Raw genomic sequence first — 15,659 nt, 5'->3', positions numbered from 1 at the left:
CTAGGTGACAGAGGAAGACGCTGTCTCAAAGAAAAAAAAAATTCCTTTTCTTTTTTAACAATAGTCCTTAGGCCAGATTCCTTTACCTTGAAATGGTGGGCAATCACAGCTGCAGACTTCAATCTACAGTACATATCAATCAATTCAACTTTTTATCATGATGTCATGACTTCTCTCTGATTCTTGGGAGAATCTCCAGCATCACTAGTGGGCACTTCATATGGGTCCCATCGTGGTATTCAAGGTTTATAGTTTTACAATTAACATGATGCAAAATAGGTGAGAATCTAAAGAGATCACTTTTTACTTTGACACAGCAATTTACTAGAAAGATAAACTGCTCACCAGAGATGATTTTAAGCGAATACTCGCAATTCTTGAGCTCCCTGCAACAGCGGCAGGAGGTCACTACAAAATTATTACAGTAGTACAGTATGTACTACAGGTAATTTTATGCAGTTAAAATTCAATTGCATTCAATTCAACTACATCTATACGTTTACATGATTACAGATGGCACCATGTACTGTCTGTTAAGTGTGTGTGTACATTTTGATAAATCTTAACTTTTTATAATAGATTTGTGTGTGTGTGTGTATCTATACATACATATATACATAGAGAGAGAGAGACATACTTTTCTTTCTTTTTTTATTTTTTTGACACAGAGTCTCACTCTGTCACCCAGGCTGGAGTGCACTGGCACAATCTTGGCTCACTGCAACCTCCACCTCCTGGGCTCTAGCGCATCTCCTGCCTCAGTCTCCCAAGAAGCTGGGATTACAGGCGTGTGCCACCACGCCTGGCTTTTTCTTTTTTTTTTTTTTTTGTATTTTTAGTAGAGATGGAGTGTCACCACATTGGCCAGGCTAGTCCTGAACTCCTGACCTCAAATGATCCACCTGCCTCGGCCTCCCAAAGTACTGGGATTACAGGCGTGAGCCACCGTGCCTGGCCTAGATTTGTGTATATTTTATAGTAAATGATAAAATAGGTTAGTATCTATACATCTTATGCATTCATGACATATCTTTTTCTTAATTTTTTTGATGTTTCTAGGCTATGTGGTTCATCTGCAAGTTTTGTCAAAGTGTCACACAAATCTCCAAAAAATTTTCCAATGTATTTATTCCAAAAAGTTTGGGTATAACTAAAGTGGACCCGCACAGTTCAAACCCACATTATTAAAGGGTCAACTATATTCTATTTTTTTGGTGTTGGTTACATAAGCATTGGATTTGTAAAAACTCATTCACTAATCTATACTTTTGTGTTATTTGCCATATTTTGTACAATAAATGTTTTCCAAAATCATAAAGCAATAAACATTCCTCTTCCTCGACTTGATTTCATCGCTCTCCTCTCCGACTTTTATTTATTTATTTTTTTTTTGGAGACAGACTCACTCCATCACCCAGGCTGGAGTGCAGTGGTGTGATCTCGGCTCACTGCAACCTCCGCCTCCCCAGTTAAAGCGATTCTAGTGCCTCAGCCTCCTGAGTAGCTGGAATTACAGATGTGCGTCACCACGCCTGGCTAATTTTTGTATTTTTAGTAGAGGCGGGGTCTTGCCATGTTAGCCAGGCTGGTCTCAAACTCCTGACCTCAAGTGATCTGCCCACCTCAGCCTCCCAAAGTGCTGGGATTACAGATGTCAGCCACCACACCCAGCCTCCCCTCTCCTTCTAGAAGCTAAATTCCTTAATTGGGTTATTCACAACTGTCATTATTTTTCATCTAACATTTACCCCAAACCCACTTCAGAATGTCCCTAACACTCCTCCCATTTCTGGTCACCACTAATGGTCACCAATAATCTCTAAGTTGTTCAATCCAATAGATAATTTTCAAGCACATCTTTTTAGACTGCGCAGCAACTAGAACCAATGGTCACCATTTATTCCTTAAAATACTCTCCCTTGGTCTTTCAGGGATAATCCTCTAACTTTTCTTCACTTTCTCTAGTCACTCCTTCACCATTCTCTCTGCTGGAGCATTCTTTTCTACCTAGTCTCTAAATATTGGAGTTACTCAAAACCAATTTCTAAATTTCCATTTCTTACCATATATCCTCTCCTAGGTTAACTCATTCCACCCATTACTTCAACTAGTATCTGCTAGTGACTTCCTCAATATAGAGTTTGGATGTCTCCACAGGAGTGCAAACTCCACTCAAAGATCATGACTTCCTCACCAAGCCTGATTTTCCTCCAGGGTCCCTTATTTTGGTGAAAAGCATCATTACCCCATTGGCAAAGCCAGGAACCACTTTCTTCCTCACCTATACCAGTAAATCTATCCCAAGTCCCTGTGTCTTCCTAAACAGTTCTCTTCATTCCTCTTACACCACCACCACCCTGTCTAAGCTACAACAGCTACTCCAAAAGCATACATGGCTTCCTGCTTCCACCACTGCTCACCAAACTTCACGTAAGAGTTGAACTGCTTCTTTTTTTTTTTTGAGACAGGGTCTCACTCTGTTGTCCAAACTGGAGTACAATGACACAAACATGACTCACTACAGCCTCAACCTCCTGGGCTCGAGGAATCCTCTTGCCTCAGCCTCCCATGTAGCTGGGACCATAGGGACGTGCCACCATGCCTGGCTACTTTTTTAATTTTTTTGTAGAGATGGGATTTCACTCTGTTGCCCAGGCTGGTCTCAAACTTCTGACCTCAAACAGTCCTCCACCTTGGCCTTCCAAAGTGCTGAGATTACAGGTGTGAACCACCAAGCCCAGCCAAAACTGCTCTTTTTTTTTTTTTTTTTTTGAGACGGAGTCTTGCTCTGTCGCCCAGGCTGGAGTGCAGTGGCTCGATCTCGGCTCACTGCAATCCCTACCTCCCAGCCAACTGCTCTTTTTAAAACACCAATAATGACATACCTCTTTACCTCCATCTCCCGTATTAATGACTTCCTATTCTCAAAGATAAAAATCAAAATTATTAAATGGCTAATACATCAGTAATTCTTTAATGCCCATTTTCTTTTGACAGGAATTCACTGTTGCCATGTTAATAGTACATGATTCCATATCCAGCAAAATTCAGAATTATAAACTTATGTACCTAGGGCATAATTATTTTTACACCTGACATTCAAATGGTGTTTTTGGCTGGGCGTGGTGGCTCACGCCTGTAATCCCAACACTTTGGGAGGCTGAGGTGGGCAGATCACTTGAGGTCAGAAGTTCAAGACCAGCCAGGCCAAAATGCTGAAACTAAAATACAAAAATTACTAAAAATACAAAAATTAGCTGGGCGTGATGGTGCATGCTTGTAATCCTAGCTACTGGAGAGGCTGAGGCAAGAGGACTGCTTGAACCCAGGAGGCGGATGTTGCAGTGAGTCAAGATTGTGTCACTATACTCCAGCCTAAGGGACAGAGTGAGACTCTGTCTCATAAATAAATAAATAAGTAAATAAATAAATAAACAAATGGTGTTTTATAAGTTTCTATGTGCTTTTGTGTACATCATCAAATCTGACATATCAATTCTGTTTTATTTATTTTTGAGACGGAATCCTGTTTTTTTGTTGTTCTTGTTTTGTTTTTTGTTCTGTTTTTGTTTTCTTTGAGACGGAGTCTCGCTCTGTCACTAAGGTTAGAGTGTAGTGATGCAGTCTTGGCTCACTGCAACCTCTGCCTCCCAGGTTCAAGCAATTCTCTCCACCTCAGTCTCCCAAGCAGCTGGGATTACAGATGCCCACCACCACACCCAGCTAATTTTTGTATTACTTAGTAAAGATGGGGTTTCACCATGTTGGCCAGGCTGGTCTTGAACTCCTGACCTCAGGTGATCCACCTGCCTCAGCCTCCCAAAGTGCTGGGATTACAGGCGTGAGCCACTGTGCCTGGCCCTGGAATCCTTTTTTATATGCAGAGAGGTCAACTTCATTTTATCATTGGCAAAAACAAGTTAGGTATACTTTACTCATAACTGAATGAGAAATCTTAGGGCTTTTTGATACTCAATCCAATCATCTTTCTACCACAAGTACCATCTTGATCCCAGGTTCAAATGCCACACATAAAACCCCTGAGGTCATAATATATACAAAATCTCCTTTTTCTTATTTTAGATTTCACTTAGTCACTTTCTCTGGATGGTGGTGATACAGCAGATTTCTTTTATTATTATTTCTTTTTGTAAATACAGACAGAGTTTCACTGTGTTGCCCAGACTGGTCTCGAACTCCTGGGCTCAAGCAGTACTCTTGCCTCAACCTCCCAAAGTGCTGGATTACAGGCATAAGCCACCAGGCCTGGCCAGACTTTATTGTTCTTGAACAAAAACCTTAATTTTGTAGAAATGTTATATTATTCCTCAAAGTTATTATACATTTAAGTAAATCCTTTTTCCTTGGCTTTCCTTTCATTTTATATCCTCTATCATAGAATCACTATTTATTTTCTCCACTGCTGCTCTTTTTTTTTTTTTTTTTTTTTTGTGAGACGGAGTCTCGCTCTGTCACCCAGGCCAGTGCAGCGGTGCAATCTCGGCTCAGCTCACTGCAAGCTCTGCCTCCCAGGTTCACACCATTCTTCTGCCTCAGCCTCCCGAGTAGCTGGGACTACAGGCGCCCGTCACCACGCCTGGCTAATTTTTTGTATTTTTAGTAGAGACGGGGTTTTACCGTGTTAGCCAGGATGGTCTCAATCTCCTGACCTCGTGATCTGCCTGCCCCAGCCTCCCAAAGTGCTGGGATTACAGGCGTGAGCCATCGTACCCGGCCTATTTTCTTTACTGGCTTCTTTTTTCTTATTCTACCTCTAAATCTGAACTTTACGGTCTTTCCTATAGAGACATCTAGCATTCTTGCATGGTTTCAGCCAACTACAATGTCCTCCCTTCCTTTGATTCACCCATCCTTCAAAACCTTGTCCAGTCTTAACTTATCTGTGAATCTTCCATGACTGCACTCAGTATACTCTCCCTCCTTAGAAGACTGTTTGCAACTGGTGGGAGGATAGGGATACTGGATTTCTATTCACACCTCAAAAGTCAAGGTGTAAAGTGAAACCGAATCTTTTTTTTTTTTTTTTTTTTTGAGACAGAGTCTCACTCTGTCACCCAGGCTGGAGTGCAGTGGTGCAATCTCAGCTCACTGCAACCTCCACCTCCTGGCTTCAAGCAATTCTCTTGCCTCAGCCTCCCAAGTAGCTGGGATTACGGGCACCTGCCACCATGCCCAGCTTATTTTTTAGTTATTTATTTATTTATTTTGTATTTTTAGTAGAGACGGGGTTTCACCATGTTGGCCAGGCTGGTCTTGAACTCTTGACCTCAGGAGATCCACCTGCCTCGGCCTCCCAAAGCACTGGGATTACAGGCATGAGCCACCACGCCCAGCCAAAACTGAATCTTTCTTCCCAAACCTGCTTCTTTCTTTTCCTTCCTCCCTTCCCTCCTTCCCTCCCTCATTTATTCATTCATTCATTCAGAGGTAGGGTCTTGCCCTGTCACCCAGTCTGAAGCGCAGTGACACAAACACAGCCTGCTGAAGCCTCGACCTCCTGGGCTGAAGCAATCCTCCCACCTCAGCCTCTCGAGTAGGTAGGACTACAGGGACATACCACCATACCCAGCTAATTTTTTAATATTTTTTTGTAGAGATGGGGTTTTGCCATGTTGCCCAGGCTGGTCTTGAACTCCTGGGCTCAAGTGATCTACCCGTCTTGGCCTCCCAAAGTCCTGGGATTACAGGCATGAGCCACCGCGCCCAGCCTTTCAAGTCATTTTTGTACACTCTAAAAGGTAAATAATGATAGGGGCAGAAAATAACATTTCACCTAGAGGGTCCCCTTTGCAAAGATCCTGAGGCATGAAAAGTTCTGTGGCTTTAATGACCTGAAAGGTAAATAGGGTCAGTGCACAGCTGCTAAGGAGAGACAATTAGATGGGAAAAGAAATCAGAGTTTGAGGCATCTGTGGGACATCTATGTGAGGATGTCTAGGAGGCATCTTCAGGTAGCTAAGGGACCCAAGCTTCTAAAGCAATAGAAGCTGATAGCAGCATTTTCTTTTAGAGATGGGGTCTCACTATGTTGCCCAGGCTGGACTGCAGTGGCTGTTCACTGATGCAGTTTCACTACTCATCAGCATGGGAGTTTTAACTGTTTCTGAACTGGGCTGGTTCACCCCTCCTTAGGCAACCTGGTAGTTCCCCACTCCTGGGAAGTCACCATATTGATGCTGAACTTAGTGCAGACACCCAATCGGCATAGCACATTATAGCTCAGAACTCCTGGACTCGAGCGATTCTCCTACCTCAGCCTCCTGAGCAGCTGGGACTACAGGTGCATGCAACTGTGCCCAGCTGTAGCAGCTATTACCTTTGTGTACCTCACACACTTTCTACTCTGTAACTCCCTCTATTCTGGTAACTAATCTTATCCTCCATCAAGCACAGGGATAGGCACATGACCAGCTGAGCAATTCTAGTACTACATCCTTGGCCACAGCAACTATTCCAATAATGGGAGAGTGACTCAGACTGAGCCATCTGGATCTCCTAATGAATACTTTTTCCTCTTTGATTGTATCATATAATCATAAAGGTATGAATAAAGAGCTTTGAGTAACCACTGCACCAACTGTCTCTTTGTTAAAGAAGTCAAAGAAGAGATGCAAACATTCAGAAAGAAGTAGTGACAAGAAGTGGACAAAGATTAAAAGTATGAAGCCCCAATCTTTCCCAGATCCATGAGTAGATTATTTTTAAATCCCCTATGAGCCCAAGTACAGTGGCTCATGCCTGTATCCCAGCACTTTAGGAGGCTGAGGCAGGAGGATTCCTTGAGGCCAGTAGTTCAAGATCAGCCTGGGCAACATAGCAAGACCTCATCTCTACAAAAAATTTAAAAATAAGCTGGGCATGGTGGCATGTGCCTATAGTGCTAGCTACTTGGGAGGCTAAGGCAGGAGGATCATATGAGCCCAGCAGTTCAAAGTTGCAGTGAGCTGTGATCATTTCACTGCATTCCACCCTGAATGACACAGCAAGACTTGTCTCTAAAAATAAAATTTTAAATCTTCTATGGAAAACAGTATGGTGGTTCCTCAAAAAATTTAAAAAAGAATTACCATATGATACAACAATTCCACTAGAAGAGATATTTGTACACCCATGTTCATTACAGCATTGTTCCCAAAGCCAAAAGGTAGAAGCAACACAAATGTCTTTCAATAAATGAATGAATAAAATAAAATGTGGTACAGGGCTGGGCGCGGTGGCTCACACCTGCAATCCCAACACTTTGGGAGGCCGAGGTGGGCAGATCACGAGGTCAAGAGACCATCCTGGCCAACATGATGAAACCCCGTCTCTACAAAAATACAAAAATTAGCTAGGTGTGATGGCGCACGCCTGTAGTCCCAGATGCTAAGGAGGCCGAGGCAGGAGAATCGCTTGAACCTGGGAGATGGAGGTTTCAGTGAGCTGAGATCACGCCACTGCACTCCAGCCTGGGTGACAGAGCGAGACTCCATCTCAAAAAAAAAAAAAAAAAAATGTGGTATATACATACAATGAAGCATGATTCAGCCTTAAAAAGGAAGAAAATTCTGACACATGCTACAACATGAATGAACCTTGAGAACATTATGTTAAGTGAAATAGGTAATCACAAAAAGGCAAATAATCTATCATTCTACCCATGTGAGGTCCCTAAAGTAGTTAAAAATCATAGAAACAGAAAGTAGAGTGGTGGTTGCCAGGGGCTGGGAGGAGGTAGAGACTGTGGAGTTGTTGTGCAATGGGTACAGAGTTTCAGTTTTGCACAATGAAGAATTCTGAAGACTGGTTGTACGACAATGTAAATTATTTAACAATACTGACAATATACTTTAAAATGATGATGGCCATTGTTGCCCACACATGCAATCCCAGCACTTTGGGACACCGAGGTGGGAGGATCACTTGAGTTTAAGATCAGCCTGGGCAACACAGCAACACCTCATCTCTACCAAAAAAAAAAAAAAAATTAAGACCATGCATGGTGGCTCACGCCTAAAATCCCAACACTTTCGGAGGCTGAGACAGAAGGATGGCTTGAGCCCAGAAGTTCGACACCTAGGCAACACAGTGAGACCTTGTCTCAATTTTTAATGATCAATAAATTTTTTTTTTTTGAGATGGAATCTCACTCTGTCACCAGGCTGGAGTGCAGTGGCACAGTCTCGGCTTGTTGCATCCTCCACCTCCTGTGTTCAAGCAATTCTCCTGCCTCAGCCTCCCAAGTAGCTGTGACTACAGGCGCATGCCACCACGCCCAGCTAATTTTTGTTTTTTTAGTAAAGATGGGGTTTCACCATGTTGGTCAGGATGATCCTGATCTCTTGACCTTGTGATCTGCTCACCTCAGCCTCCCAAAGTGTTGGGATTACAAGCATGAGCCACCACGCCCAGCCAATAATCAATAATTTTTTTAAAAATTAAAATGTTTGGCCGGGCGCGGTGGCTCACGCCTGTAATCCCAGCACTTTGGAAGGCCGAAGCGGGCAGATCATGAGGTCAGGAGATCGAGACCATCCTGGCTAACATGGTGAAACCCCGTCTCTACTAAAAAATACAAAAAATTAGCCGGGCATGGTGGCAGGTGCCTGTAGTCCCAGCTACTCGAGAGGCTGAGGCAGGAGAATGACATGAACCCAGGAGGTGGAGCTTGCAGTGAGCCAAGATCACGCCACTGCACTCCAGCCTGGGAGACAGAGCAAGACTCCATCTCAAAAAAAAAAAAAAAAAATTAAAATTTTTAATGGTTAAAATGGTAAATTTTATGCTATATTTTTCCAAAATTAAAAAAAAATAATTCCCTTTTTTACTTAAAACAATTACTTGCAACTGAAAAAAAGGGCCTGTTGAACATGAAATCCAACACTCAAATATAGTACTAGACCTTGATATTAGAACTGGCCATGCCGGGCATAGTAGCTCACACCTGCAATCCCAGTACTTTATGAGGTAAAGGTAGGAGGACTGCTTGAGCCCAGGAGTTTGAGACCAGTTTAGGGAACATGGTGAGACCCCAACTACAAAAAGTCAAAAAATTAGCCAGGCATAGTGGTACATGCCTGTGGTCCAAGCTACTAAGGAGGCTGAGGTGGGAGGATTGCTTGAGCCCAGAAGGTCGGGGCTGCAGTGAGCCAAGTTCAAGTTCAGGCCACTGCACTCCAGCCTGGGTGAAAAAGTGAGACTCTGTCAAAAAAAAAAATACAAAAACTGGCCAAGTATGAAGTATGGGATTAGGGGATAGTAAGAATTTCACTGCACAGGCTAGAAAGCAATTCCCATTATACTAGAGTAAACCAGCATCAATTTGATCTGATGTAGTCTGGGATTCAAACTATATTCTCACCTTTAGAGAATTTGACAGAAAAATGTCAGAATATTAAACTGCTTTGGCTACTTATACCTTTCTCAGTGTAGTGTCTTGAGAGAAACAAGCCTGGGTATAAATCAAGTCAGTGGCTCATGCCTGTAATCCCAGCACTTTGGGAGGCCAAAGCGGGCAGATGACCTGAGGTCAGGAGTTCAAGATCAGCCTGGCCAACATGGTGAAACCCTGTTTCTCCTAAAAATACAAAAAATTAGCCGGGCAACCTCCACCTCCTGCGTTCAAGCGATTCTCCTTGGGAAATTGGCTGTTATGTCTCTTTTCTGATTTCTCCTAAGGTCAGATAACAACTTAGTTTCAGTTTGGTGACATGGAACTTTTCTTTCTTTTTTCTTTTTTTGAGAAAGGATATCTCTCTGTCGCCCAGGCTGGAGTGCAGTGGCGCGATCTTGGTTCATTGTAACCTCCACCTCCTGGGTTCAAACGATTCTCCTCCTCAGCCTCCCGAATAGCTGGGATTACAGGTACATGCCACCACTCCAGCTAATTTTTTTTTTTTTTGAGATGGAGTCTCGCTCTGTTGCCCAGGCTGAAGTGCAGTGGTGACATCTCAGCCCACTACAACCTCCGCCTCCTGGGTTCAAGTGATTCTCCTGCCTCAGCCTCCTGAGTAGCTGGGACTACAGGTGAGCACCTGGCCAAGGAGTCCTGTTTCAATATTCAACATGCATGATAATAAAGTTCCCTCTGTTTCACCAGGCATGGTAGCTCACGCCTGTAATCCCAGCACTTTGGGAGGCCAAGACGGGCGGATCACGAGGTCAGGAGATCGAGACCATCCTGGCTAACATGATGAAACCCCGTCTCTACTAAAATACAAAAAAAATTAGTCGGGCATGGTGGCGGGTGCCTGTCGTCCCAGCTACTTGGGAGGCTGAGGCAGAAGAATGGTGTGAACCCAGGAGGCGAAGCTTGCAGTGAGCTGAGATCGCGCCTGGGTGCACTCCAGCCTGGGTGACAGAGAGAGACTCCATCTCAAAAATAAATAAATATATCAATAAAATAAAATAAAGTTCCCTCTGTTTTAATCTTTAGAACAAAAGATAACCTGAAGTAACCTGATGTTAACCAATCAGTTATTTCTCTATTGTTTTGTTTCTTTGTTGACAGCTGGTAAGGGAAATAACTTTGAAATGACCAATCCACTTTTTCTTCTGTGTTTCTCCATTTTTTTTTTTTTTTGAGACAGAGTTTCACTCTTGTTGCCCCCAAGCTGGAGTGCAATGGCATGTTCTCGGCTCACTGCAAACTCTGGGTGGGGCTTTACTGCTTCTACTTCTAATTTCAGTCACTGTAATGTTCCAAAATGAAAAAAATTTCAAAAAATATTTGTCATGGATATCATAAACAATCACCCTTAAAAACTAATGTTTTACTCTCCATAAAGAGGACCCAACAAATTGTTATTATTTGAAAGAATAAGCTAATAGAGAGTCCAAAATTCAAATGAAACCAATCTGTAAAAGCGACACTCAGACTTTCTCATCGTGGATGGTGGCTCTAAAAAAAAAAAAAGGCTTCATATTTGAAAAGTCTTTAAGGAAAAGGCAACTCACAGGATAGGAGAAAATATTGTTAAATCATATATCTAATAAGGAATTAATACCCAGGATATTTAGAAAACTCCTAAAACTAAATAAACAAACAAAAACAATTAAAAAATGGGCAATGGACATGAAGAGCCATTTCTCCAAAGAAGCTAAATGAATGGCCAATAAGCACATAAAAAGATGCTAAACATTACTAATCATCAGGAAAATCCAAATCAAAACCACAACCCAGTCCCATTAGGATGGCTACTACCAAAAAGAGAGAGAGAGAGAGAGAGGAAACTAACAAGTGTTGGAAAGGGTGTGGAGAAGTTGGGACCCTTGTACATTGTTGGTGGGAATGAAAAATGGTACGTTCACTGAGGAAAACCATGGTGGTTCCTCAAAACATTAAAAACAGCATTACTATATAAGCCAGCAATTCTCAAAAGTAGAGTCTCAAAGAGATAGGAGGCTGGGCGCAGTGGCTCACACCTGTAATCCCAGCACTTTGGGAGGCCGAGGCAGGTGAATTACCTGAGGTCAGGAGATTGAGACCAGCCTAACCAACATGGTGAAACCTCGTCTCTACTAAAAATACAAAAATTAGCTGGGCGTGATGGCGAGCACCTGTAATCCCAGCTACTCAGGGGGCTGAGACAGGAGAATCACCTGAACCCAGGAGGCGCAGGTTGCAGTAAGCCAAGATCATTCCACTGCACTCCAGCCTGGGCGACAGAGTGAGACTCCCTTTTGTTTTGTTTTTGTTTTTGTTTTTGTTTTTTTGAGACAAAGTCTCGCTCTGTCGCCCAGGCTGGAATGCAGTGGCACAATCTCGGCTCACTGCAGCCTCCACCTCCTGGGTTCAAGCGATTCTCCTGCCTCAGCTTCCTGAGCAGCTAGGGCTGCAGGAGTGTGCCACTATGCCCGACTAATTTTGTATTTTTAGTAGAGACGAGGTTTCACCATGTTGGCCAGGCTGGTCTTGAACTCCTGACCTCATGTGATCCTCCCACCTCAGCCTCCCAAAGTGCTGGGACTGCAAGCATGAGCCAAAGTGCTCAGCCCATCCAGCCTTTTATAAATGATTTTTTTTTATTTACTTACTTATTTAACTGTATTTATTTATTTATTTTTAGACAGGGTTGCACTCCATCACCCAGGCTGGAGTGCAGTGGCACGATCTCGGCTCACTGCAGCCTAGACCTCCCAGGCTCAAGCAATCCTCCCACCTCAGCCTCCCAAGTAGCTGAAACTACAGGCACACACCACCAAGCCTAGTTAATTTTTTAAGTTTTTGTAGAGACAAGGTCGCGCTATGTTGCCCAGGCAGGTCTTGAACTCCTAAGATCAAGCGATCCTCCTGCCTCAACCTCCCAAAGTGCTGGGATTACTGGTGTGAGCCACTATGCCCTGCCTCATTCAGCCTTTAAAAGGAAGGAAATTCTGACCTATGCTACAATGTAGATGAACGTTGAGGACACTATGCTAAGTGAAATAAGCCAGTTACAAAAAGGCAAATACTGTACGATTCCACTTATATGAGGTACTTGGACTAGCATAAAATTCTGTTCAGAAAAAAACAATTTTCAAGCCAAGAAAGTTCAACACTAATGATTATTTTGCAGTTATAAATCTTATATAACTGACCAAACTTGAATAACTCCTTTTTTAAGAAAACCATTTTTCTGCCTAAGAAAATTTTAACTCACTTTAACTTCATCAAAGTTTAACACTTACACACTGTGTTATAGTTACTTTAAGGCTTATTACACAATATTAGTTCTAAAGTTTCTGTACTGCGGTTATGCTACCTTTTATTTTGAAAACTGAAAAATTACTATAAGAGAAAGTAATCTGACTAAAGTAGAGGCTCTCTTTTTGGAATCAGGTACTCCAAACAAACAATTAATTCACACGTCCCAAAAAAAGTTAAAACCATACCATTTAAATCTGCATTTTCAAATCTGACCCAGACTATTTTCTCCTTTTCTTCTGTTAGAGGTGTTCCACTGTAAGCCTGCATAGTAAACAGAAACATTTGAATAAACATATTTTACAGCTTTAATATTACTGATGTTCAAAACAAAGTGACTTAAAGCCAACACTATACCTCTCCAACTTCACCAACCCTACATCTTGGTAACTAGAATATTTTAGAACATTATTACCCCCAAAGAATATTATCCATGAGTCTCATAACCTTGGTCAAAAGAGTTTTTAACTTATTAAAAGAACTGCAGGCTAGGCACCTGTAATCTCAGCACTTTGGGAGGCCAAGGCAGGCAGACCACTTGAGGCCAGGAGTTCAAGACCAGCCTGGCCAACATGGCGAAACTCTGTCTCTACTAAAAACACAAAAATTAGCTGGGTGAGGTGTGGCACATGCCTGTAATTCCAGCTACTGGGGAGGCTGAGACACGAGAATCACTTAAACCTGGAAGGCAGAGATTGCAATGAACAGAGATCGTGCCACCGCACTCCAGCCTAGGCGACTGAGCAAGACTCTGTCCCCCACAAAAAAAAGAACTGCAGAAACCTAAAATACAATGATCACAATCTATTTTGAAGCATTACTATAATTCAAAGGCAAATGAAAGACTAACCATCCGCTATACTGGTCAACAAATAAGGCTTAGAAAACAAACACAACTACTACCTTTAACTATTAAGTGCTAGGTGTTTGTGGCAATTATACTGGTGTGAGTATTACTGTACTTTTTTAGTCTCTTATCAAGCTTCTAGACCCAACCTATCAGCTGCTTCCTGGAAGCCTGCAAGGATCAAAAGACAAGCATTAATGGCATGAAGTATCAACAGTATTCAACAGTATTCAAAAGGAGGCATCTCTCCATAAAGCATGTTTTTTTCTTTCTTTTTTTTTTTTTTTGAGACAGAGTCTCACTCTATCACCCAGGCTGGAGTGCAGTGGCATGATTTTGGCTCACTGTACCCTCCACCTCCCGGGTTCAAGTGATTCTCCTGCCTCAGCCTCCCAAGTAGCTGGAACTATAGGCGTGTGCCACCACGCCCAGCTAATTTTTTGTCTTTTTGGTGGAGACGGGGTTTCACCATGTTGGCCAGGCTGGTCTTGAACTCCTGACCTCAGGTGATCCGCCCCGCCTCGGCATCCCAAAGTGCTGGGATTACACAGGTGAGCCACCATGCCCTGCCTAACATACCTTTTTTAAAAAACACCAGCTTGGGCAACATGGAGAAACCTCATCTCTACAGAAAAAAAATCTGGGCATGGTGGCATGCACCTGTAGTCCCAGCTACCAGGGAGGCTGAGATGGGAGGATCACCTGAATCTGGGAAATTGAGGCCGCAGTGAGCCATGATAGTGCCACTGTACTCCAGCCTGGGTGAGAGCAAGACCCTGTCTCAAAAAAAAAATTCTCCCCTAATATTATCTAATCTAATCAAATCTAACATTTGCATTTCTCGAAACTACAAAAGTAACACTGGTGCATTACTATTAAACCCCAGACATTATTTGGATTTCACAACCTTTCTCACTAATGTCCTTTCTCTGCTCCAGGATCCAAACCAGGATGCTATCCTGCATTTAGGACAACTTCCTTTTTTCCTGTATCAGGCTTTCCTTTCCTTTAACGTGGTGAAGCAATAACATTTTCAAATTCTTCTTCAGCTTAGCAGACTTATTCCTTTGCGACATTTGATTTCTGAGTGATATGCAGAACAAAACAAGGTCAAAGAAGGTCTTTCAGTGTATTGGGATTCTTGAACCTCTTTTTGCTTTCCCTGTGAGGGGGAAATAAGTCTTACAAAATGAGGCTTATATGCTTTCACTATGTCTTCAAGTTTCCTCTCTCCTTAGTGGACATGGTGTTTTTTACTCAGAATTTTTGAGAAAATTCTGGGAAGACAACTGAAGCACCTGAGCTCTGCTTCGTGTGTTCCTTACTACAGCTTTGCACAAAGGTGAATCACGTCATTTTTTGCCTCTTATGATCTCCTTTTCCCATGCTTAGATATTTTATTCTCAGTAAGACACAGACTCACCTATTGCCCTTCTACCTTTCACCTGATGTCTTTAAAAAAAAAAAGTTGTTTTTGGGTTTCTGTTTTTGTATTTCTCGAGACAGGGTCTGGTTCTGTCACCCCGGCTGGAGTGCAGTGGTATGATCTCAGCTCACTGCAACCTCCGCCTCCTGGGCTCAAACGGTCCACCCATGTCAGCCTCCCAAATAGCTGGGACTACAGGTGTGCACCACCACACCCAGCTAATTTTTGTATTTTCTGTAGAGATGGGGTTTCACCATGTTGCTCAGGCTGGTCTGGTACTCCTGGGCACAAGCAATCTGCCCGCCTAGGCCTCCCAAAGTGCTGGGATTACAGGTGTGAGCCACCACACCCAGGATCACCTGATGTCTTTATAGAGGTCAGTGTACTGCCACACTTTTCCTTTTCCCCCAGCACTGATTAAAAGCCCTTCTTCAAACAAGAGCAACCGATTTAGCCCTCTTATTTAAAGTCAAAACTTTCACCTCACTACTGAAAAGATTTATTTACTTCTTTTATATTTCAACACTGGTTTCTAACACACTACACACACTGATAAGTACAAAGTTATTTTTGAATTTTATATAACATAGCTATAATCATTGTAGGTGTCATTCTGTATGTTGTCTTATTTGCTCACTATAGAGAAAATAATTTCCATAGTGTACTATTGCCATAATTTTTATTTATAGCAAATTATTCTA

At 42.6% G+C, this 15,659-nt stretch overlaps 1 protein-coding gene and 1 pseudogene across 8 annotated transcripts in view; both read right to left on the bottom strand.

The window, feature by feature from the left end:
* The window catches only part of BCAS3 (BCAS3 microtubule associated cell migration factor), a 714,981-nt gene that overhangs the window by 690,197 nt on the left and 9,125 nt on the right, over window positions 1-15,659 (bottom strand). For all 8 annotated transcript variants that reach the window (NM_001353144.2, NM_001353145.2, NM_001330413.2 and 5 more), the window contains exon 4: window positions 12,874-12,949. In NM_001353144.2, the coding sequence (NP_001340073.1) occupies window positions 12,874-12,949 (76 nt within the window). The remainder of the gene's footprint in view (window positions 1-12,873; window positions 12,950-15,659) is intronic.
* RN7SL606P (RNA, 7SL, cytoplasmic 606, pseudogene) lies at window positions 6,030-6,322 on the bottom strand (annotated as a pseudogene).

Source organism: Homo sapiens, chromosome 17 (assembly GCF_000001405.40).
Source record: "Homo sapiens chromosome 17, GRCh38.p14 Primary Assembly".
NCBI lineage: Eukaryota > Metazoa > Chordata > Mammalia > Primates > Hominidae > Homo > Homo sapiens.
This window is presented reverse-complemented; position numbering and strand designations above follow the sequence as displayed.